Source organism: Homo sapiens, chromosome 10, assembly GCF_000001405.40.
Source record: "Homo sapiens chromosome 10, GRCh38.p14 Primary Assembly".
In the NCBI taxonomy this organism is placed as follows: domain Eukaryota; kingdom Metazoa; phylum Chordata; class Mammalia; order Primates; family Hominidae; genus Homo; species Homo sapiens.
Window position 1 is genome coordinate 91,327,978 of NC_000010.11, and position 26,087 is coordinate 91,354,064.

The 26,087-nt window shown below is 40.0% G+C and overlaps 1 long non-coding RNA gene across 1 annotated transcript in view; it reads right to left on the reverse strand.

Moving 5' to 3' along the window:
* Window positions 1–26,087, reverse strand: part of HECTD2-AS1 (HECTD2 antisense RNA 1) — a 304,499-nt gene that overhangs the window by 21,016 nt on the left and 257,396 nt on the right. Inside the window, exon 4 of the long non-coding RNA NR_024467.1 lies at window positions 22,780–22,902. This is a non-coding gene — a long non-coding RNA (HECTD2 antisense RNA 1). The remainder of the gene's footprint in view (window positions 1–22,779; window positions 22,903–26,087) is intronic.

Here is a 26,087-nt window from a genome sequence, read left to right on the forward strand (position 1 = left end):
CCTATTCGGCCATCTTGGATCCTCCCCCGTTTTTTCTCATTTATTTTATGTATTATTTGTTTTATTTTAAAATCTATACATGATCATAGATTTAAAACAATTAAACACTACAAAGGACAACATCGGCAGGAATGATGGAGTAAAGACTTCCAAAATTTGCTCTTCTATAAAAACAACAAGAACACTGGCAAAAGTTGTCAAAATCACTAATTCCAAAACTCTAGAAATTAACCAAATACAATAATCCAAGAAGTGTTCATTAAAATAAATGGCTGAATCTTAGTAAGAACAGCAAGATTTTTGGTGTTTTGATTTGCCCTATTCCCTCCCCCTTCTGCTTAGCACCACAGCAGTCTTAAAAAGGGCCCTCTAAACTCAGTAAAAACCAGCAGCCTAGCAACCATTGGAAGTGGCAGAATGGGTTTTAAGTTCCCCGAAAACACCTTTTTTGGAAAGTTGTCGTCATTTGACTCATATGGCAGCTACCTAAAAATGATGAATTGTGGGGCTTATCTTTATTTGACATGACTCAGAACTCTTTCATTTCAAACAGCCTTTCCCCTGGGAGTATTTGCTGAAAACAATCAGTGGCAGTTGCTTAACATCACAGTTGTCTAGGGTAGCAAAAATAGTTGTGGCTAATTAGAAACTAATGAAAAACTTAAAAGGAAAAAATAGGGAATGAGATTTCCTTGGGGGACAGGCTGTGATTAAAAGGCTCTGAGATATTCCTGGGCATTCAGAAAGCTATGTTCATATGTAAAGTTGTACATACGCCCAGGGCTGTGTGTGTGCCCAAGAAAGAATTGAAAAGGCCTCACTCTAAGCTCTCACCACTAACTAATCTTGAGGCTCTCTATAAACAGGAAGAACAGGAAGTGAAGGCTAAGACAGAGTTTAAAAACTGCCCGCCTTACTTTTTAAGAGTGTTCTCCAAATCACACACAGACCCAATGAGCAAAGGTTGGGAGACTTACTGGTTCCAGGCATTCAAGATAATTTTTGTTCAATCATTAGCTAACCTCTAAGCTAGCCAAGGAAACACTTTATTGGCCAAAACTTAAAAGAATACAAACTTTACAAAATTAGTTCAAGAAAGTTACTAAACAAGCATGCAGAAACAACAATTACAAACCTTAGGGAAGGGACAACTATTATTTCAAATGTTACAGCATTATACTTTTTAAATGTCCAGTTCTTAACAAAAAGTCACCAGACATACAAAGAAACAATTAAGTTTGGCTCATACACAGAAGCAAAAAGCATTCAATGTAAACTATTGCTGAACCAGCCCAGATATTGGAATCAGTAAGCAAAGAATATAAATCAGCGATTTAAAATACTTTCAAAGAATGAAAGTATGAGAATGATGTCTCACTAAATAGAGACTATCAATGAAGGGATAAAGACTATTAAAAAGAAATATGTAGAAATTTTGGAGTTGAAAAGTTCAATAATTAAAATGAAAAGGTCAGAAGTGAGGCTTAATTACAGATTTGAGCTTGTAGAAGAATAAGCCAGCAAACTTGAAAAGAAGACTATTGAGATGACCCAGTCTGAGGAACAGAAAGAAAAGATGTAAAAGACAGAGAGACAGACAGCCTCAGAAACCTATGGGACATCATCAACCATATCAACATATGTATAATGAAAGTCTCAGAAGGAGAAGTGAGAAGAAAGGGGCAGAAAAAATATTTGAAGGAAAAATGGCCAAAACCTCCCAAATTTAATTTAAAATATTAACCTATGTATCCAAGAAGCTAAACACAATGAAATTGGATAAAGTCAAAGAGATATAAATATGTGGATGCATCATAATCAAACTATTAAAAGACAGGGACAGGCCAGGTGCGGTGGCTCACGCATGTAATCCCAGCATTTTGGGAGGCCGAGGTGGGTGGATCACCTGAGGTCAGGAGTTCAAGACCAGCCTGGCGAACATGGTGAAACCCCATCTCTACTGAAAATACAAAAATTACCCAGGCTTGGCGGCGTGCACCTGTAGTCCCAACTACTCAGGAGGCTGAGGCGGGAGAATCGCTTGAACCTGGGAGGCAGAGGTTGCAGTTATGCTGGCAAGGCTGTGGGGAAATAGGATGGCTGTTACACTCTTGGTGGGAATGTAAATTAGTTCAACCATTGTGGAAGACAGTATGGCAATTCCTCAAGGATCCAGAACCAGAAATCCCGTTACTGGGTATATACCCAAAGGAATATACATCATTCTGCTATAAAGACACATGCACACGTATGTTTACTGCAGCACTATTTACAATAGCAAAGACATGGAACCAACCCAAATGCCCATCAATGATAGACTGGATAAAGAAAATGTGGTACATATACACCATGGAATACTATGCAGCCATAAAAAGGAATGAGATCATGTTCTTTATAGGGACATGGATGAAGCTGGAAGCCATCATCCTCAGCAAAACAACACAGGAACAGAAAACCAAACACCACATGTTCTCACTCATAAGTGGAAGTTGAACAATGAGAACACATGGAGACAGACAGGATAACAACATACAAACATACACCACGGCCTGCTGGTGGGATGACGGGAGGGAACTTAGAGGAACGGTCAACAGGTGCGCCAAACCGCCATGGCACATGTATACCTATATTACAAACTTGCACGTTCTGCACATGTATCCCTTTTATCAGAAGAAAAAATAAATAAAAGTTCGACATAGAGTTATTATATGACCCAGCAATTCCATTTCTTTATATACCCAAGAGAATTAAAAATGCATGTCCACACAAAAACTTGTAAATGCATGTCCACAGCAGCATTTTTATAATAGACAAAGAGTAGAGACAACCTAAATATCCATCTACTGATAAATGAATAAATAAAATGTGCTATACACATACATTGAGCCATAAAAAGAATAAAGTACTAACAATACTACATGAGTGAATCTTGAAAACATTATACTAAGTGAAAGAAGCCAGATATTATATGATTCAATTTATATGAAATGTCCAGAATAGGCAATCCTTAGATATTAAAAAGTAGATCAGTGGTTGCCAGGATTGCGGAAATGAAGGAACAGGGAGTGATGGATAATAGGTATGAGGGTTTCTTTTTGATGATGAAAATGTTCTGGAATTAGTGGAGTGGTAACAGTTTCACAACCATTCTAAACCTGCTAAGACCAATCGCACTGTGCTCCATAAGGGCATGAGTTTTATGCTATATTAATTATATCTCAAAAAAAGAAAAAGAAGGGAAAAACACTAGAGAAATGTTTGAAGTGTAGAAACTCAATATGCCCTGATCACTACTCCTTCGAACACCTAGTGGTAACCATAAGTTTTAGAAAATATTTTTACAGAAATGTTCTAATTACATATGAATAGATACTTTTGAAATATGCCCAAACAGGAACACAGTCTACACAGTGTCCTGTCACATGCTTTTTTACTTTATCTTATTTTGTTCCCATTTGATATGCAGATAATTGGTCCTCATTTTAAAAAAAAATGCTACAAGGCATTCTATTCTTCATATGAGTCATAATTTATTTCATGATTCCCTGTTGAAGGAAATTTGGGTTTCTTTGATTTTTTCCACTAAAAATACGCTACAGCAGATACCTTTCTAGATATATCTTTGTGCACTAATGAGGATAGATGGCTAAATTCCTAGCAGTGGCAATGCTGGGCTACCCACAAACATTTAGAAGTTGACAAGAGGCAGAGTGTGATGGAAAGAGAAGAACTTGGTTGTCAACTAGACCTTGATTCCTGGTTCTGCCATTTATTAAATGTCTGATCTTGGCCAAATCATTTAACATTTCTGAGCTTCATTTTCATTATGTGTAAAATCAAACTATGTTGAGGAAAGAGTTCCCCACTTTTGAAGTTTCCTTTCTAGTAGGAGAGGTTCAAATAGGGATGTGCTTATAGCCTTTCTCCATCCTATAATTTGTCTATCACAGGGGAGGTGAAATGACTTATCTGATTGGTACATTTGGTAAAAATAAATGTTCTTGGCTCAGATTATCCATTTGGGAGTGAACTATTTTTCCGTGTTTTCAGTCTTCCCTTGACAGCTTCCACAATGAGAAGTCCACATTGGTACAGCATTCAAGTGACTAGATAAGTTCAGTGCAGGAGCATTTGGCTCTTGTGCTAATCTAAGTCATCTAACTTAATCTTTTTCAGTAATAAAAGTGATATTTTGCTTCTCTCTTCTCCACTGTCTTATTTCTCAGGTTATTTAGAACTTAGGTAAAGAAGCAGGGTTCTATTTATTTGATCCTCTCAAGATCTTAACCAACTATTATTGTCTTCCTTGAAGTACAGTTTTGAAGATTGAAAAAGATATGTTTGAGAAGTATTTGGCATACTAGGTGCCTTAAAAATGATGCCTATTACTATTATTTCAGAAAAAAAACACAATAGTTTACATTACCCTCTCACTCTGTATTATGTATATCGCCACTAGCCAAAAATTTTTAGCTCTACTTTTTGTGTTTTGCATTATAAATAATGCACATTTATTGAATATATCATTTCAAATTACGCAGGCCCATTTTATATTCTTGCCAAGACACTTGTTGAACCTCTATGTTGGTAATATTCTTTCACATGCAAGGGACAGAAACAACATCCAAGCTAACTTCAGCAAAGAGAAAATCACATAGCCTTACGTAACTGTGAAAGGCAGAATGGATGTGTTCTCAGGTGAGACTAGATCTAAGATTCCAGTCAATGTCACCTGGACTTCCTTTTCAATCATCATCAAGTATGCCTCTCTTTCTGCCTATTTGCCACTGCTCCCAACATCTTGACCAGTAACTGACACATAGTAAGGATGCAATAAAATGCATACGCAATGAGATGAGTGAATGTGTAAGTTCTTTCTTAATGCCCTCGGGTTTCTTCCATATAGGTACCCACAATCAATATCTTGGGTTTTAAAACCCAGATATTCACCCCAAAGGCAAGAAAAGTCTTCTTTCATTTGTCTTCAGTAAACCTCTAGATCTCTGTATATCTTTATCCATGTCCAGAATTATATTCATATATATATTTTTATATGTCTTCCAGGATGAGATTTTGTTTTGTTCTTGTTTTGTTTTGTTTTGTTTTGTTTGAGACAGAGTCTCCCTCTGTTTTGCAGGCTGGAGTGCAGTGGCATGATCTCAGCTCATTGCAACCTCTGCCTCCTGGCTCACTGCCTCAGCCGCCCGAGTAGCTGGGATTACAGGTGTGCATCACCATGCCCAGCTAATTTTTGTATTTTTAGTAGAGATGGGGTTTTGCCATGTTGGTCAGGCTGGTCTTGAACTCCTGACCTCAAGTGATCCGCCCACCTCAGCCTCTCAACTGGAATGGGTTTTCATTGCCTGAGTCTTGTGCCAACCCATTGGACCACTAACCATTGAAAGGGGACAGGGTACCATTACCTCTTTTGCTAAGACAATGTGACTGGCAGTCTCACTGTAATCACATAGATAGGTAACCATAAAGAGAAAGATTCTTGAAAGGAGTAGGGATGCTGTTAACAGAAGAAAGAAGGAAAGCTGAACAAATAAAAACAATTGAGATTCACTGCATATTCCATTCCAAGAGTCTGTGTCCTACTGAAAGTCACTACAGCCTAAAGTAAATTCTATAACTGAGAGTATAGAGACTTGATAGAAGGAATCAATCCCAATTATTCCCTTTTTTACATCTACAGAAGTCTAGTATTTCTGCAAATACTATGACCTTTTTAATGGGTATAACTGACACACAACAAACCACACATGTTTAAAATGTAAAATTTGGCCAAGCAAAGGTGGCATACATGCCTGTAGTCCCAGCTATTCAGGAGGCTGAGGCAGGAGGACTGCTTGAGCCCAGGAGTTTGAGGCTGTAGTGGGCTGCGATCATACCAGTAAATAGCTACTGCACTCCAGCCTGGACAACATAGCAGGAACCCATCATTTTTTAAACAATGTAAAATTTGATAATTTTTAAAATTGTATGTTGCGAAACCATCACTACAATAAAAAAATACCCATTATGCCCCAAAATGTTGCCCAAAATCAAAGATATTTACCATATGGCCTTTTACAGAAAAAAAATTTCTTGCCCTTGATCTAGATCTCTCTTTTCACAACTTTGTTCTTTAAAGTGGAGCAGTTCAACAGGGGTGCTCTGCAACTTCCATGGGGAGTAAAGGAAAGGGGCTAGCACTCACCACTATCATAGCCCAAACCTCCACTTTAAATACAGCAACTCTCTTTTTATCTATTGGGTTGCCTTTTAAAACTTACTTGGAAGATAGCATCTTAGAACGTTTAAATCTACTATTCTATTTCAACTCTTTTGTTCCCAGATGTGAACATAAAGAATGAGGTGGGAAAGTGAATTACTTGCTCAGTGTTATATAGCTCCTTCTAACCCAAATCTCATGATTCTCAGGTCTGAGAGTTCTTTCCACCACCTGAAATTAAAACCAGTCAGGGCAGTGCTCTCCCAAAGAACCCCCAACCTAAAAAAACAAAAACAAAAAATTAAAAGCTGAGTGAAGAGAGTGCCCAGTACACAGACAGTGGCTAGAGAAAACCTGACTCCGGCTAGAATTCCTAGGGGCACATTATCCACTCCTTGGCAATTCTACCCCCTTGATTTACAGAACTACTATGAAGTTGTACCACTCAGGAAAAGAGTTGTTAGTTGTTGGTCAGTCAGCCACATGTGTAGGGTGACAAAAAGGGGTAATAGGAACCTGAAAGGGCTGAGACCCAGAAACAAATATCAGCGGAGAATAAAAACTAGAAAACTAAATATGGATATAATAAACAGATTATCAGGGAGACAAAAGGAAGGGCCTGTGCCAGGAGAAATTTACCGTCAAACAGGCCTGGATGGAAACATGTGGATTCTCTACCCAGGCTGGGAAAACATGATGCTACTTCAGACTCTACTTTCATTTAGAAGGAAGGTTGAGTGAAATATGGGGAAAGACCACCAGGATAGTTCATAGTCTCCCTTAAGCTCTGGCTCGAAACCTGCATATTCTACCCAGCAAACAAGGTATCTGTGAAGGCCTGCCCCACTTAAAAGACAGGTTAGTGTGTATTTATTCTTCCTCAAGCAAGAACTCTGGGTTCTAATACTCTTCACTCCAAGTGATATAGCGAAGTATTTGTTTCACCTTCCCCTCATATTAGTTCACCTTACTTATTAGCACCCAAAACTTCAGTTGAGGAACTAATTTGTTTTTATCTCTTATTCACTGACATGGCTTGTTTCTGTGTCCCCACCCAAATCTCACGTCAAATTGTAGTCCCCAGTGTTAGTCACCTGGTGGGAGGTGACTGAAGTATGGAGGTGGATCCTTCCTGAATGGTTTAACATCGCCCCCTGGGTGCTGTCCTTGTGACAGTGAGTGAGTTGTCATGAGATCTAGCTGTTTAAAAACGTGTAGCACCTCCCCACTCTCTCTTTTTCTCCTGCTCCACCATGTAAGACATGCCTGCTTTCCCTTCACCTTCTGCCATGATTGTAAGTTTCCTGAGGCCTCCCCAGAAGCAGAAGCTTCCATGCTTTCTACACAGCCTGCAGAACCACAAGCAAATTAAACCTCCTTTCTTTATAAATTACCCAGTCTCAGGTCTTTCTTTCTGTCTGTCTGTCTGTCTGTCTTTTTTTTTTTTTTTCAAGACAGGATCTCACTCTCTTACCCAGACTAGAGTACAGTGGCATAATCTTGGCTCACTGCAACCTCCGCTTCCTGGGCTCAGCTGATCCTCCTGCTTCAGCCTCCCAAGTAGCTGGGACTACAGGTATGTGCCATCACCATGACAGGTTAATTTTTGTATTTTTTGTAGAGGCAGGGTTTCACCATCTTGTCCCCACTGGTCTCAAACTCCTGAACTCAAGCAAACCCCTGCCTCCCAAAGTGCTGGGATTACAGGTGTGAGCCACCACTCCTGGCCAGGTACTTCTTTATGGAAGTGCAAGAAGGGACTAATACAGATGAAATGTGTTAACCAATTGTGTTTTCTACTTAAAACTGGCATTTGGAAAGTGTATAGACAAACTTATGCCCTATCAATAGCAAGTATGTAAAAACTTCTTAGTACATTTCCTTGTAATAGCCTCATTTCTAGCTCTATTTTATGTCCCTGACTTCTTTGTTCTTCCCTGTTTTAAGTGAAGGAAGTGGATCCACATGGGGCTCACAGAGACACATAGGGAATAGTAGCCACCCTCTAAGTCAGCATGGTGATAGCAACAGTAACTTGCAAAGGGAAGGAGACTCTCTTGGGACTCTAATTATAAGGTCCCAAATTTCCTCCCCATATGGGTGTTCTTCCTCCACTGCTTAGCATTTGAAAATCTGAATTTGACTGCTCTTGCCATTGCTGACTACAACTGAGTCAGCATCTCCCAAAACTTTCTTAATGGAAAAGAGTTTTATAATGGAGATCAATGTTGGGAAGAAAACAGATACTCTATCTGTATGATCCAATTCAATATTATGGTAACAGGAAAGGTGTGGAAATTATATAGAGATCCATGGGAGATTCTTGTTGAATTAAGACTTACATATCTATAACAGATCAGTTTTGTTTGTTTGTTTTTATTGAGGGATAATTTTAAAAGCCTATGTGTGTAAGCAGCTCACATGAAGAGGGAACTGGAACTATGTCTCTGGCAAAAAAAAAAAAAAAAAAAAAAAACCTGAGAATTTTGGAAAGCTATCCTATCTATGAAAACGGGACTAGGGAAACCCCCATCCACTAGCCTGGGAAAGTGTCAATAGATCTTGAAGTTAACCAGGAACCTGGGTGGAAAATATGTAACTCATAGGAAATCAAAGCCCATGCCATATAAGGTTATAGGGTCCAAATTTTCATTACCTTTCTCTTGCAGGAAACCAAAGTGATAAATTAACATTAAAATTTGTCTAGGATTAGCCAGGCATAGTAGTCCATGCCTATAGTCCCAGCTACTAGAGAGGCTAAGGCAGGAGGATCACTTGAGCACAAGAGATCAAGGCTCCAGTGAGCTATGATGGCGCCACTGCACTCCAGCCTCAGCAACAGAGCAGGAAACTGTCTCTAAAAAAGAAATTAAGGCATGTCCCAGTGGCTCACATCTGTAATCCCAGCATTTTGGGAGGCCAAGCGGGGTGGATCACTTAAGGCCAGGAGTTTGAGACCACCTGTGCAACATGGTGAGACCCCCATCTCTACTAAAAATACAAAAATTAGCCGGGTATGGTGGTGCATGCCTGTAATCCCAGCTACTCAGGAGGCTGAGGCAGGAGAATCACTTGAACCCAGGAGGAGGAGGTTGAAGTGAGCTGAGATTGCGCCACTGCACTCCAGCCTGGGTGACAGAGCAAGACTCTGTCTCAAAAAAAATAAATAAAAATAGGCCAGGCACAGTGGCTCATACCTGTAATCCCAGCCCTTTGGAAGTCCAAGGCAGGTGGATCACTTGAGGTCAGGAGTTCAAGACCACCTGGCCAACATGGTGAGACCCTGTGTCTAATAAAAATACAAAAATTAGCACATGCCTGCAATCTCAGCTACTCAGGAGGCTGAGGCACAAGAATCGCTTGAACCCAGGAGGTGGAGATTGCAGTGAGCCTAGATTGCACTACTGCACTCTAGCCTGGACAACACAGTGAGACTCTGTCTCAAAAATAAATAAATAAATAAAAAATAAATTAAACTAAAAAAAAAAATTGGGCCAGGCACGGTAGCTCACGTCTGTAATCTCAGCACTTTGAGAGGCCTAGGCAGATGATCACTTGAGCCCAGGAGTTCAAGACCAGCCTGGGCAAAATGGTGAAACCCTGTCTCTACAAAAAATAATACAAAAAATTAGCCAGGTATGGTAGTGCACCCCTGTAGTCCCAGCTACTCGGGGGGCTGAGGTGGGAAGATCACTTAGGCCCAGGAGATGGAGGCTGCAGTGAGCGAGATTGCGCTACTGCACTCCAGCCTAGGTGTCAGAGTGTCTCAAAAAAAAAAAATGTGAATTTGTGAGACTCTAGGACTGAAGTAGAAGCAAACTCCAAATAATTTTGTAGTGATTCTTTGACAATTCAGAGCACAGAGGAGTCACCACCATCACCTTCCAAAAAAAATGAAACACTAAGGTAACTTTACAATAAGAAATTATGAACTACACGAGGAAACAATCTACCTTGAGGGAGAATTGGCAGATGCAACAAACAGGAGAAGCAATATTTTCATGGTCTGGAGAAAATATAGCAATCTATCAGATTAAAATAGAAGTATGTTTAAAATAATTAAAGATATTGAGACAGCCAGGTGAGAGAGGGTCCCTGGCAAAACTCCAACTGGCCTGCACCCTGGGGCAGAGCCACAGAGGTTCACCCCATTTTCAGGTGAGAGGAGCCTAGCCCCTCCTCTTCCTGTGTGTGGAAACTAGGATTCAAGCTGTGAGGCGAGAAGCACATGAGAGGAAGTCTGGCCTTGTGAAGGGTCCCTGTTTCCCCCTTTATTTCCTTTTCACCCAATAAAACCCTGTTTTACTCACCCTTCAAACTATCTGCAAGTCTGAACTTTCGTGGCTATGGGACAAGGACCCCGTCTTTAGCTGAACTAAGGAAAAGTCCTGCAATCATATCATCATGAAAGAACAATGGGATGTGTAAAGAATAGGCAGAGAGGGAGAAAGAACAAATATAACTTTTAGAAATGAAAACCTGTTTAAATATCAGATTCAACACTGAATAGAGAATTAGCAAACTGGTGGATACATTTGAACAAAGTACTCACAATATAACACAGAGAAAAAGAGGTGGAGATTCATCATGAAATAGAAGCAGCAACGAGGATAAATGGGTGAGAAGGTTATTGCTATATGTATCTAGCGTGTCTAACATATCAAAGACAAAGTGCACCAAGAAATTAAGGAGATTATTTTATTCAGTCTATAGCAATAGATGAATGTTCATTAACGAGTAACGTTTCAGTGAAAAGGAAGGGAAACTGGGTTTGCAGAGGCAGGTAAACAAGAGAGTCATCGAGAGTCTAACGGAGTAATGAGGAAGAATAGAAATGTGTCTTATATCAGACTATACAAGGGCAGGGTGCCCTTTGAGGTTAGCTATTTCCAGAATACAAAAGCATGGGGAGATTTCTGAACCACCCCTGCTTTCCAAAAGCACAGATTTCAGATAAAGTTCAACATTACCAAATAGGAGTTCCAGAACGACAAAGTAGAAAGAATAGAGGGCATCTGAAAAAGATAAAATCAGAACAATTTTTAGAATTAAAGAGAACATAAGTCCTCAGAATGGTGAAGTACATTAGGTCTCAAATAAAGTTAAGCAAAACAAGAGCCATACCTAGACACGATAGAAAAACTACAAATATAAAGAAATATTAAAATGTCATTAATTAGGAATATTTTTCTTGCTCTTTTTAAAAAATCTTCCCGCAATTTGATTACTGGTTTTATACAGTTAAGGTTATACTTTTTATTGAAATTAAGAACTTAAGCAAAATCAGAATCAGTTATTAAAATAAGCCTTGGAACTCACATCGCTGGTAAGTGGTTGAGTTGGGCCTTTAAGCCACATCTTCTGATTCAAAATACTATTTATACCATTTTATTCTAGGGATACCATGAAGCCTATAGCACCTCCTTCTCAATTTAGTATGTTCCATTTAGCCTAGAGAAAAGACTGAAGGTTGTTGCAACTACATATACTTTATATTTCTTTCTAAGTGTCACAATTGAGTACAATTAGAGTTCAATTTCTCTTTATAATGGATGTTCCCAGAGGGTAAACAGAAAGAATGTATGCATTCTTTAAGCAAAGCTTTATTTTTCTCTATGAATCAGCATGCAAAATCCCCTAGCAACATTTGACTTTAATACTTATGGAAATCAGATTGGTCTCCCTTGTTAGAGTGGGCATCTTGATGGCCCGTGTTATTTCCTCTATGTGGGGTTCCAGCTGTGTTGTCAGCCAGCAGTACCACTTCCTGAGGGCTGAAGAACATCTTTCTGAAAGCATTGCCCTAAAGCTGCTGCTGCCACTCCTACCATGCTCCAAATCATCAGCTTTCTAATGTGCCCTGTGAACCCTAGGCAAAGGGACAAAAAACATTATTTTAGACTTCAGTTCAGTTGGGAATCAGAAGTTGTATGGAGCCATTAAGTGGAGGCATTCAACGTATTCACACAATAACTGTTTGAACACCTATTATGTGCTCACATTGTGCTAGGCACTGGGGATCTGCTAACAAGAGACACAATCCCTATCCTCATTGTAGCTCACAGATTAGGCTGGCAAATTGACATTTAAAAAATACTGTAACTACACAAGTAACTCAGCCTCTCTTTTCATCTCTTGCTAACCTTGATGCAGGACACAGCATCTCTCTCCTTTCCAGTAAATAAATAGACAATCTGTTCTGCACCAAAAGTATTAATGAACTGCATAGATGTTGACCAAGATTTTGTGTAGGAGTTTCCTACACAAAATCTTATAAAATCTCCCATACAAATCCTATGGGAAACTCCCACACAAAATCTTACAAAATCTCCTATACAAATTCTATGGAAAACTCCTACACAAAATCTTACAAAATCTCCCATACAAATCCTATAGGAAGCTCCTACACAAAATCTCCTATACAAATCCTATAGGAAACTCCCATGCAAAATCTCAGCCTGACATCCTCAGTTCTCTTTGGAAGTATCTGGTCTCCAAGCTGGATTCTTCTTTGCCCTGGACCTGTTTCCTGACCTTGTGGTCTTGTGTCTCCCTATTCTGTTTTTACCCCCTGGAAATTTTGTTTTCCTGTAGCGCCACCCTGTTCCGTTCCTGGTGAGCAGTTCATCTCTGCCTGGGAGTTCACCTCCAGCCTTGCACACTTCAGGGGCCCTCCAGCAGCTGGAACCCACCTCCTCATTAGATGGTGTGTGTGTTTTGGGGGTGCGGAGTATAAATAACATGGAAATCAGGTTGTGCTGCACTTAAATAGGGAGTAATTATAATTGTGTTTATTTGATAGAGGGAGGCACAGGTGCCAGGAGACTGAGTAAGAAGTGAGCCTGTGAGACAGCTGCTTGCCAGCCGCATCAGGCCCTGGCCCCTGAGTCAGCCTGTGTCTAATTAGGAGCAGGCTGCAATCGCCATCTGAATAATTCTCTGGGATTGAGTTTCTTCCTGAATGACTCGATTCACACTGGATGAGAAACTGTCTCTCTCCACTAGGAAGTGGAATAAAACAACTGACTCACATTTCACGCTTCCGTTTTTGCCAAGTGGAGATGATAATTTCTCAGTTACTCAGATGTGGGCTAGAGCTGAATCTGCTTTTTATAACTGACTGACTTAGCAAGGAAGTGAAAATCCAGGTACTGAGATGGAGCAGGGACCCCTTTTAGGGGTCTCTGGGTCCCCAAGCATGGAAATAAAGGAAAATCTTGAGCTCCTTCAAGGGAAATTCCAGATGCCTAGCTAGCCCTGAAAGTGAATAAGCAGCTTGATAAACAAGAAGGTAATGGTAGCCTGAAACAATAGCCAAGGAACTGAGAGTCCCGAGATGTTTGGTTCCCTATAGAAACTAAAGATAACATCTTAACATATGTACCCGAGTTATTTTTCAGAAACCTGGACCTCCAACAAATGGATACACTGGCACATAGACCTCAGATAATGTAGAACTGAGGACTGAATTCTGATAACCATTCTTTGTTCTAAATTTCTTCCTGAGTGTCCTGGAGGAAGTCACACCCATGAGCCAGAGCTAACATTCTTTCTGCTGACCTTAAATTTTTAAACAAAGCTTCTCTTCCTTAACCAATTGTAAAAGAGAAAATCTTTGAACCTGCCTATGACCTGTAAGCTCCTGCTTCAAGATCCCCCACCCTTTCAGGCCAAAACCCATGTGTAGCCTCCATGTATTGATTTATGATCTTGCCTGTAACTTCTGCTTTCCTGAAATTTACCCCTGCTTTTAAAAACCCTTACTTGCAAGCCATTGGGAAGTCAGGACATAAGCATTAGCTGCCAATTCTCCTTTCTTGGTGCCCTGCAAATAAATACCTTCCTTTCTTGCCACTTCAAACCTCAGTGTGGATGTCTGGCCTTACTGTGCCAGGCCAGTGGACCCCACTTTGGTTCTATAACAGTATCACAAAGCCAAGGGAGCCATAATGAGTCAAGTTCTGGGTCCTAGACTCCACATCAAGTCTTGGAGTGGGATTATTCCTCAACCAGGTGGTCTGGTCTCACTCTAGACAAGGCCTATGGAGGTCCTGTGGATTCAGAAGACCCCTCCTACCAAGGCCCACCCTCCCTGGATGTCTCCTGGAAGAGGTAAAAATTCTAGGTATCCTTTAAACACCTATGATGTCCTAGACCTGGACACGGAGCATGATGCTTTAGAGACCATTGGTGGATGCCACTTGTAGACCCTGGGAAAGAGAGTTTGAGAACATATAGCAAAAACTAAATTCAAAGACTAAGCTGGGAACAAACCTGACCACCATGGCCAAAAGCAGGAACAGTCCCCAGATCTACAGAACTGGGCATTTCCGGTGCCCAGGTCCTGTGGTATTTGTGGACAGGCGAGGACTTTGACCTGAATTTATGTGTGTATTAGTTCATTTTCACACTGTTATAAAGAACTTCCTTGAGACTAGGTAATTTATAAAGGAAAAAGGTTTAATTCACTCACAGTTCCACATGGCTGGGGAGGCCTCAGGAAACTTACAATCATGGGGCATGAGGAAGCAGGCACCTTCTTTCACAGGGTGGCAGCAGGGAGAAGAGTGTGAGTGTGTGAAGGAGGAACTGTCAAAAACTTATAAAACTGTCAGATCTTGTGAGAACTCACTCACTTCAGGAGAACAGTATAGGGGAAACCACCTCCATGATCCAATCACCCCTCCTCCCTCCACACATGGGGATTACAATTTGAGATGAGATTTGGGTGGGGACACGAGCCAAACTATTTCAATGTGCCTTTGAATTACCAATAGTGATTGAGAAAAGCAGCTGGTAGGATCCTGCTTTTTATTCTCTTAATATTATTTCACATATAGTTCCCCATGACATTTCATATTGGAAACATGGTAGTTCCACCAACTATTACAAAAGAAAATAAGAAATCCATAATTTACATGCACACAATTGTGCCACAGTATTACTCTCTGTGTCCTGGAATGTGTCCACAAGATATTTGGCATCATGGTAGGTACATTGTAGCACACTGAGGTGACAAATTTTATTCAGCTGCATCATGATCATCAATAGGGAGTTCACACATTCTCCCCACCCACGTGGTTGGTTGCAGGACATGATCCTGTTGTTTTAAAGAGCAACCTGCCAATGAAAAAATGATCACTTTTGACCCTTTCCCTCAAGATTCAACAAAACTAAGAATTGACAAATTGAAGTCTTTATTAGGTAAAATCTGTAAAATTACAGTGAACTGACATTTGCTGAGCTTGGGATACATATTAAGAACTATTCACAACAACCATGCAATATAAGCACCTTTATTATCCCTATTTTATAGAGCAGGAAACCAAACCTTTAAAAAAGTTAAGTAAGTAGGCCAGAGTCATTCAGTAAACAAATAGTGGTACCAGGACTCAAACCAAATCTTTCTGGGGTCAAGTCCACATGTATAGCCATTCTGCTCTTTCCTGGAAATGCACGTCAGATATCCTTAGGAATCTTTTCTGATGTTTAGGTTCATAGTATGTTGGTACTGCACCCTGGTTTTCCTCTCTTCCACAGTGTGCTCTGAGCAAAACAGTTCTTCCCATAATCGAGAGACTCTTCATCAGAATAATTGTATCATGACTATTCTGTTCCCTGGCCCTTCTGTCCTTAAGTCAAGCTAGATAACCATATCAAATAGTGGATTCTGATTTTAAATTTACCACCCTCAGGAAATGGAAAGCCACCAATCTGTTTAGATCAGTGGTCTCCAAATTTTTGGCACCAAGGATTGGTTTTGTGGAAGAAAATCTTTCCACAGAGAGGTGGGGATGTGGGGATGGTTTTGGGATAAAATTGTTCCACCTCAGATCATCAGGGATTAGTTAGATTCTCATAAGGAGCACACAACCTAGATCTCTCAAACACAGTTTACAATAGGGTTCATGCTTCTATGAGAAACTAATGCTACTGCTGATCTGATAGGAGGTGGAGCTCAGGCAGTAATGCTCGTCCCCCCACCGCTCCTCATCTCCTGCTGTACAGCCTAGTTCCTAACAGGCCACAGACCAGTACCAGTATACAGCCTGGGGGTTGGGAACCCCTGATTTAGATGATCCTATAGAAAAACCAGTTCTGCCCAAGCCTGACCCAGCTTGAAACCTGAAGTGGATGAAAGTGCAGCCCTGAGGCAACATACCATTTAGAGTCACTAAGACATCATTAGAATCCATCAGAAGTTTCTCACTGAAGTCAAAAGCGTCCTCATGTGCAATAAAGGAAAACGCTTACCATGGAAGAAGCCCTTCTGTGATGTTCATTGGAACTGTATGGTCCTCTGAGCTGGCCACACCACAGTCAAGCCATCGTGACATTCCCCCACCCTTGTGATAATGTGCTTTATGATATTCCCCATCCTTGTGAATGTACTTCGTAACATCCTCCCAGCCCTTGTGACAATACACCCTCCCTGCCCTTGTGAATGTACTTAGTAACATCCTCCCCGCCCTTGAGAATGTACTTTGTAACATCCATCCCCTGCCCACAAAAAATTGCTCCTGACTCTACCGCCTATCCCAAACCTATAAGAAACAATGATAATCCCTCCACCCTTCGCTGACTCCTTTCTCAGACTCAGCCCACTTGCGCCCAAGTGAATAAACGGTCTTGTTGCTCACACTAAGCCTGCTCAGGTGGTCTCTTATACGGACGCGAGTAACAGGAACTTGAATAACCATAGCTGTGCCACCAACCCTGGGGCCTTCCGGGTAATAACGCCTTAGGTCAGTTGAAATTCTTAAACTAAAGAGTAATTTATTTTATTATCTAAGTTGTAAACCTTTTATATATCTTCCAATAAATTTTCTCTCCCCTCCCCACCCCCAAAAAATCACAAAATAAAACTAAAATTAACATTGTAGAAAAGTAACAATGTTTTGGCAACATGAAAGTCCCAAAAAGAACCTTTAAAAATAATTTGAACAAGATTTTATAATTAAATGCACATACATTTTCTCTATTCATAGGAACTATAAGTAGTAAATAATGGGAAAATACTGGCATGAAAAATCATTTCAGACAGGTTAAAATATCATATTACATAATGGAAGCCATGTGTCTCAATGTCAAAGGAGTTAACAAATAGAAATAGGGAAAGGCGAGAATCAACACTGTGGTTGGTGGAGTTGAGAAGGTAATTTCAAAGTATTCTGCCTACAAATTACTTACTAATTACAAAGGGAAATATTAATAGCAATTTTACATCATCAGTAATGCATTAACATCATCAATAATGGAACAAGCTGATGTTGTGTGCCTCCTGATATGGTGCACAGACTAAGACACAATATCATGCCTGTGGTATATCTGCCAAACATGTATAACCTGAATCTAATTATGCAGAAACTTCAAAGTAAAATTTAAAAATATCTTATGAAATAACTAGCCTTTACTCCACAATTTTCAAAAACACGAAAGACAAGGAGAGATAAAGAAGCTGTTACAGACTATAAGAGACTAAAGAGACATGACAACTAAATTCACAAGATGCTCCTGGATTGGGCCCTGGGCCAGGAAAAATAACAACCACAAAAAAACATTACTGGGACAATTAGAGCAATTCAAATCTGAATTTTAGGTTATAGTATTATATCAAAGTTATGGTTTATGATGTTGATCATTGCAGTGTGGTTCCATAAGATAAGTCCCTGCTTTTAGGATATACAAACTATAAAGAATTTGTGGCTAGCAGATATGCGAAAATTACTTTCAAATGGTTTAGGAAAACAAAGAGTGAGTAAGAGCAAATGATAAAGCATATGGAATGAAACACTAACAATTGATGAATCAGAATAAAGGGAACACAAGTGTTTCTTATATTATTCTTGTGACTTTTTTGAACGTCTGAAATTGTATTACAATAAAAATGTTTAAATATCCTATCTCACAGCATTCAATACATCTCTTTTAAGAACATAAATAAAGAGTTTATACTTTCTTATTGCTGCTGTCACAAACGCATTAGTTTAAAACAACACAAATTTATTATCTTACATGACTTTTTCAGCTTCTAGAGGCTATCTGCCCTTCTTGGCTCATGCCCCCTTCCTTACATCACTCTACCTCTACCTCCACATCACATCTCCTTCCCTGATCCTAACTCTTGCCTCCTGCTTATAAGGACTTTTGTGAACACTTGTGTATAAGCCACAGACTGGTTGGCTTAAAGCAGGGGTCCCCAGCCCCTGGGCCACAGACTGGTACAAGTCCATGGCCTGTTAGGAACTAGGCTAAACAGCATGAAGTGAGTGGCGGGCCAGCCAGTATTACCGCCTGAGCTCCACCTCCTGTTAGATCAGCAGCAGCATGAGATTCTAATAGGAGAACGAACCCTATTGCGAACTGCGCATGCAAGGTATCTAGGTTGTGCTCTCCTTATGAGAATCTAAGTAATACCTGATGATCTGAGGTGGAAAAGTTTCATTCCAAAACCATCCCTGCCTCCCATCCGTGGAAAAATTGTCTTTCAGGAAACCAGTCCCTGGTGCCAAAAAGGTTGAGGACCAATGACTTAAAAAACAGAAATTTATTTTCTCACATTTCTGGAGACTGGAACTAATCAAGGGCTGGTTTCCTCTGCGGCCTCTCTAGCTTGCTTTAGATGGTCATCCTTGTGGGCGTGCATGCAAGGTATCTCTTTTTATGACCATATTTCCTGTTCTTACAAAGAAACCAGCCAGGTTGAATTAGGGTCCACCTTGATGGTCTCATTTTAACTTAATCACCTCATTTAAGGCCCTATTTCCAAATATAGTCACAACCCGAGGTACAGGAAGTTAGGGCTTCAATATACAAATTTTAGGGGAATGCAGTTCATCCCACAACAGTCACATAAATATAAAGACACATGTCTTTCTTATTCTCCCTCCTTCTCACTCCAACCACAGAAGACGGAAGGCAGGAGAAGTGAAAAGGTGAGCCATGCCCTTCTTTACCTCAAGCCCCTTCCTGAAGCTTACCCTGGCCTGGTGGTTTGAGAAAGAGAATGAACATCATATTGGATATAAGATTTAGTTTTTAAACTACTCGAGATAGGAAAGCGCATTTTAATAATAAAAAGTAACCAGAAAGCTATGAGATCTGCCCAAGATATTCTTAAGGGCAGGAAAGGGAGATTTCATGGAATACGGTTGAAATAAATGATTGGAGAAAAAAACTAAAACAGTTCATATTTCTGTGCTATTGAGTGTAGACTGTTGAATAGACTGAGCATAATATATGTTCATATGTAAAGAAGCCTGTGATATGTAATTTACTTATTAAAACAAATTGAGACTAATGATGCACATCATGATAATACTTGGATAAAAGATTGTGATAGGTGCCTATTGTTATTGGCTGCCAAGCACTGCTTCCCCTACTTTGTCTAGTAACCTTCTCCAGCAATAGATTAGACATGTGACTCCAGCTCAGCTTCTCATAATACCTCACACCCTTGACTGGAGTGGTTAATCAACAGGCTAAACCAATCAGAAACATTCCCTGGGATTTTTCAAGCTGGGAGACCAACACCCCTTTTTACTTCAGTCATAAAGTTGTAAGAGACTCAGAGCCAGGAAGTGCTGGCCACATCCTTGACTCATGGAAAACCCAGTGTGGGAGAATGAAGCCAACACACCTTGAGACATAGAGATGAGAGACAAAAAGAATGATTCCTGGGGATGTTCTAGTCCTGGCTTCAATCATCTCCAAGGTAGGTAACTCTACTCGTATGCTTCCAGAATTTTGATTATCCAAGCCAAGTAAATCTTTATGCTTAAGCCAGTTTGCTTTGGTTTCTATCCCTTGAAACCAAAGAATCTTGAAACAAAAATATGTATTTATGTGGCATAATTGTGTTTCATGGAAAATATCTGGAAAGATACATACTAAATTGTTAACAATGGTTAATTCTCATAAAAATTCTGCTTTCCCCCACTGTTTCAATTTCTTTATATTAATTATTCGTTACATTTATAATAAAACATGTTTAGGAAAATGAGAACACAAACTAGTATAGCACTGATGATAGCCAAGAAAAATGTATTCATATACAGTGAATAAGAGGATAAAATTAATTTAGAATAAGAGACATTTCGTTTAACATTTTTAAATGGTAAGCCACAGCCCTACAAAGATAAAGGGGATGTTTCAATAAGTCATATACAGAAAGAGCACTAAATATATATGGGACAACCAAACAATACTGATGCAAGAATGTAAATGTCCTCCCCACCCAATACCATGGAAACCTCAGGATCTGCCTGTGGGGTCACCTCTGAGATCTCTTACGTGCATAGACTCCACCTGACTCATCTGCTTCCCATTCAACACTGATATATTACTTGATCATTGTTGGTCCTTGTCTTAGTTACCTATGGCTGCATTACAAATGACCCCAAAACTTAGCAGCTTAAAAGAATAAGCATTTATTATCTCAGAGTTTCTGTGGGTCAGGAGCAGGGGCATGGCTTTACTGAGTGCCTCTAACTCGGGATCTGTCAAAGGCTGTAATCAGTGCATCATCTAGGGCTGCAGTCATCTCAGGGCTCAACCGTGTAAAGGTCCTTTTCCAAAGTCACTCACTTGGCTGCAGGCAAGCCTCAGGTGCTTGCTAGCTATTTGCTTAGGACATTAGTTACTTCTGATCTGGGCTGTTCATAACATGACAGTTCGCTTTCCCAAGACTCCGAGACAGAGAGAGAGAGACAGACAGAGAGAGAGAGAGAGAAAGGAAAACAAGATGGAAGTCATAGTCAACCAGGCCTGATTTTGCCCTCAGGGGACCTTTGGCAATATCTAGAGGCATTCTTGGTTGTCACACTGTGGCGAGGAGAGGGAAGGTACTACTAGTATCCTGTTTGTAGAGATCAGGGATGCTGTTACACATCCTACAATGCACAAGACAGCTCCCTACAACAAAGAATGACCTGGCCGAATTATTAAAGTACAAAGTTGAGAAGCCCTGACTTTGAGTGTTGAATGTTTGTAGAGCACATTATGTACATTCTCCCAATCCTCATACAACTCTATAAGGTAAGTGTTATTATCTCTTACTTTTATTGCTGAGGAAACTGAGGCTTACAGGAGTCCAGTGATTTGCTCTAAGCAAGCAAGTAGCGAGGCTGTATTTGAACGAAGGTTTGGTCTCATTTCATTGCCAGCCTCTTTCAATGTGAAGCAGGAACAGAGAGAGGTAAGAAAAGGAACAAGCTCTGGGAGAGGGGAGGGGAGAAATGCCCTCTCTGCCAGGAAATGTTCCAGATGCCATTCTTGTCACCTCATTTGAAACTTGCAATGAGGCAAGAACATAAGCCTGAGCAGACTCTGTTCTCTGGGAGAAGACAGCTTGGCAAGGTCCTGGTTTGCATCATTGTTGAGCTGGAGCTGTGGATTCCTATGGTTCCTGGAAACCCACAGTGTCCACACTACTGCAACCTCTCCCTTCTTCTTGGGGTCCCAGCTGGGCCTGTATGAATCACTTGTGACTACTCAGAGGAGCCATGCTGAGCTCCCCTCCATTCTGCTTTCAATATGGTAGGCCTGGCCTCCTTGGTGCCCAGGGACACACAACCAATAAGAGCACATTGTGAAGCCAACTGATAAGTACATTTCACATTTCTTGTGATTTCACTCCAATTGTGTTCCCCACCCCACCTTCCCCTTTTAAGACTTTCAGACTTGTTCCCTTCTGACCCCCTTGGTCAGAATTTGAACATTTCATTTCCCAAATGTCATTTTGAGATAGATTTTCTATCACGATTATGCCCTCCCACAACCTTCCAGATGGGGATTCAGGATTCACCTCTTGAATTAAAGAGTTTGTTGTTTTTGGTTTTGGTTTTGGTTTTTGTTATGAGATGGATTCTTGCTCTGTCACCCAGGCTGGAGTACAGGGGTGCAATCTCGGCTCACTGTAGCCTCCGCCTTCTGGGTTCAAGCAATTCTCCTGCCTCAGCCTCCCAAATAGGTGGGATTACAGCTGCCCGCCACCATGCCTGGCTAATTTTTGTATTTTTAGTAGAAACAAGGTTTCACCACGTTGGCCAGGCTGGTCTCAAACTCCTAATCTCAAGTGATCCGCCCGCCTCAGCCTCCCAAAGTGCTGGGATTACAGGCATGAGCTACCATGCCCAGCTTTGATTTAAAGGGTTTGAATAATCTACTCCTTCTAGAAGGGGAATATGCAAGTCCATTTTGAGGAGGCTCTAAAAAAAAAAAAAAAAAAAAAAAAAAAACCAGCAAGAAGCTGTGAGTGACACAAACTTTTAGAGGATTTGTATTAAAAACTTCCAGGTTTGCAGACACTATGAAATCTCTTAGTTCTTATTTAAAGTTTTACATAAAAGAAAAATTTGGCAAGGGGGAAATTGTTTTCTCCACCCTGGAGCTGTAAAAATGAATGAACATCTCATTAGCTGAGAATTTGTAGGTCTATGCCTGCTGGGATTTCAAAGGGCATATATTCTTTGGCCAAATATGACTTTGGCATATAGCCAGTCTCATAGGAGCATTAGTTGTTGCAGCTTGAGTCTGTGTTTGAGTGACTAATGTCATCTTACCTTGTTCTTGCCATGACCTAAACTTTGGAGCAGTTCTTCAGCTGGATTTGTGGTGGACCTTGCACAAAATTATACAACCTTCCTCAGTCCTTCCACTGTCAGCTGGTGTCCTGCAGGCTTCATCTAGAAACAGACAAAAGCTAGTCTGAAAATGGCAGTTACCAAGTAACAAAAATGAGTGGGGCCTTTTAAATTCAACAGGAAAACATAGTCAGCAAAACCACACAAAAAGAACAAATCAGATGACATCTAGTAGCCTGTTCCTTCTGCCAGGTTATTTACGGTTTCTGACTGGTTGGCATGGATTAGCTCTCTGATTCGGGTAACAAGTTAGTTATTGAATTACCAGGATTTTGTTTTGACAGAAATTTTCCTTCAGAGTTACCTTTTTTGCCCCCTGAATCCTTTTGGTTTTTTGATATCATATATAGAAATTCATTACATAAGGATTTTCAAATATTTTTGGAAATGGTCACAGTAAGAAATTGATTTTATACTGTGACAACACACACACACACACACACACACACACACACACACACACACTTGCTAAACTAAAACAAAAGTTCTATAGAAAGTATATTCACTCTTACTATGTATGATTCACTTTAATATTTTCCATTTATTTCCTTCCAGACTAGTCTAGACTAGTCTGTTACAAATGTTTTTGGCTGCCTATTAAATTAATTTCGCAACCCATGAAAGGAACATGTCCTGCAGTTTGAAAAATATTATATTACTTGAACCATGGTTTTTAAATGACAATTTATAGCATTCTGATGAAATTCAAAGTATAACTAGAAAGTGAATTTAATCAGTTTCCAGGATTGTTCCTGTGGTATCTGTAATTCTGCTTATCCAACTCCTCAGTGAAATTGTAATGCACCTATAGTGTCACTCTTTTCTCTTTCGATTCTGATGGTTAGATGTGAAAACTATGTATTTACATCAGTTTCCTTTCTACATTGTCAAACAGACAGGTTCTTTGGAGCTTCTTCCAGTGTTTTACCCAGGAGGTTGGGAACATTGGAGAACATCGTGCCACTTGGCTGTGGTTGGGGTGTATGCAGAGATAAAGGAGTCCATACCGGAAACAGCGTGCCAAGGAAGTGCCAAGGCTTAATCAGAGCTATCAACCTGGAATCAGCACCAGGAAAGACAGGGTAGCCAGCTGTAAGCCAAGAAAGATGGAGACTGAGTGTCATGGGCAAAAGGAAAAGGCAGTGGAGCATAAGGCAGTTCTGAACCAAAGAATAAAATGCTATGAGGGCTCTTGATACTGTTCTATGGCTCTGGTTAGGAGCATGCTTCAAATGCTTGAAGAGGAAACACCAAAGCTGTTTCCCAGAGCATCACACTAGAATAAACTTTCACACTTACCCATAATAATTAATCCCATGAGCTATTTTCCCTTAAGAATCTGATATTAAGTCAAAGTTTTATAGTTCTCCTCCCCATTTGCCACTATATACGGTATTATATAGTGGCAAATGCCACACATTACATTATTTCATCTATAAATATGTCAGTATGTACATAAAAATGACTTTTTAAAAACAAAACCCCAAATCCGTCATCACACCTAAACATTTTTAACAATGATTTCTGAATACTATTCAATGTTCACCTAGTAGTATTCACATGTCCCTATACATTTTTTCTTTGCTTTTACATTTTATTTATTCTAATAAGGCTTTAAATTATTAGGGCCATACATTTTAATACATTTTAATTGGTTGATTGTCTCATTTGTCTTTTTTCATTTGTAACTTTTTTTTTTTTTTGAGTGGTTAAAAGGTAAAATCCAAAACGTCTTTAAATAATGGGACTTTTTCCAAGGAAATGCAAATTGTTTATTTTGCTTACCAAAATAAACATGTTTACCAGATGAGAAAAACACCTCCTGGCCTCTGCAAATAGGGAGAAAAGCTTGCTTATGGTGATATGAGATCCAAGGTGATGAAAACTAGGCCCACCTCACTGGGCTCCATTGTTCCTGAAATCTCCTTCATTGGATTCACTTTTTTATACTTCAGAATAGCCTCTTTTTAAACACAACTGCATTAAACTCCCTTGCTGCCCACCTTCTACTAAGAGGATATCTGTTAATCTCTGTATGAATCTCTTCAGTTCTTTGATAGCACAATGTCTATAAATGATGGCCCAAGGGATGACAAGCGTGGTGAGTCATTCAAAAGCCAGTACTATTCAGCAGAGTTTTAATGTTGAGTGCATTTAGCTCTCTTCTAATTCATATAAAGTTGATAATCATGGATTTATTGCTTTTTATGTGATGGTACACACCAGGATAGGATGCCAGTTTTTCTATTTCCAGAAGGTGTTTCCCACATTCACTTGAATAAACTAACTTTCTGATATGGTTTGGCTGTGTCCCCACCCAATCTCATCTGAAATTGTTCCCCACATGTCTTGGGAGGGACCCGGCGGGAGGTAATTGAATCATGGGGGCAGTTACCCTCATGCTGTTCTCATGATAGTGAGTGAGTTCTCATGAGATCTGATGATTTTATAAGGGGATTTTCCCTCTTTTGTTCAGCACTTCTCTTTCCTGCTACCATGTGAAGAAGGACGTGTTTGCAGTTCTCCTTCTGCCATGATTGTAAGTTTCCTGAGGCCTCCCCAACCATGCTGAACTGTGAGTCAGTTAAACCTCTTTCCTTTATACATTACCCAGTCTCAAGTATTTCTTCATAGCACCATGAGAGTGAGAATGAATTAATACACTTTCCCATCACCATTCAACAGCCATTTCCTACCCTTCGAAGATTATATAGCATGTCATTGGATATATATATATATATCCAATGTGTATACATATATATGTGTGTGTATACATATATATATATGGATATACATATATATACACATATATATATATGGATATACATATATATACACATATATATCCATATATATATATATTTTTTTTTTGAGACAGAGTCTCACTCTGTTGCCCAGGCTAGAGTTCAGTGGCACAATCTCGGCTCACTACAACCTCTTCCTCCCAGGTTCAAGCAATTCTCTTGCCTCAGCCTCCCGAATAGCCGGGATTACAGGCACATGCCACCACACATGACTAATTTTTGTATTTTTAGTAGAGACAGGGTTTCACCATGTTAGTCAGACTGGTCTTGAACTTCTGACCTCAAGTGATCCACCTACCTCAGCCTCCTAAAGTGCTGGAATTAGAGGCGTGAGCCACTGCGCCTGGTCTGTCATTGTATTTCTAAGCTAACAAGAATTTAGAAACTATAAACTGTAATTTTTATTTTCTCTTTTTCCTTTTT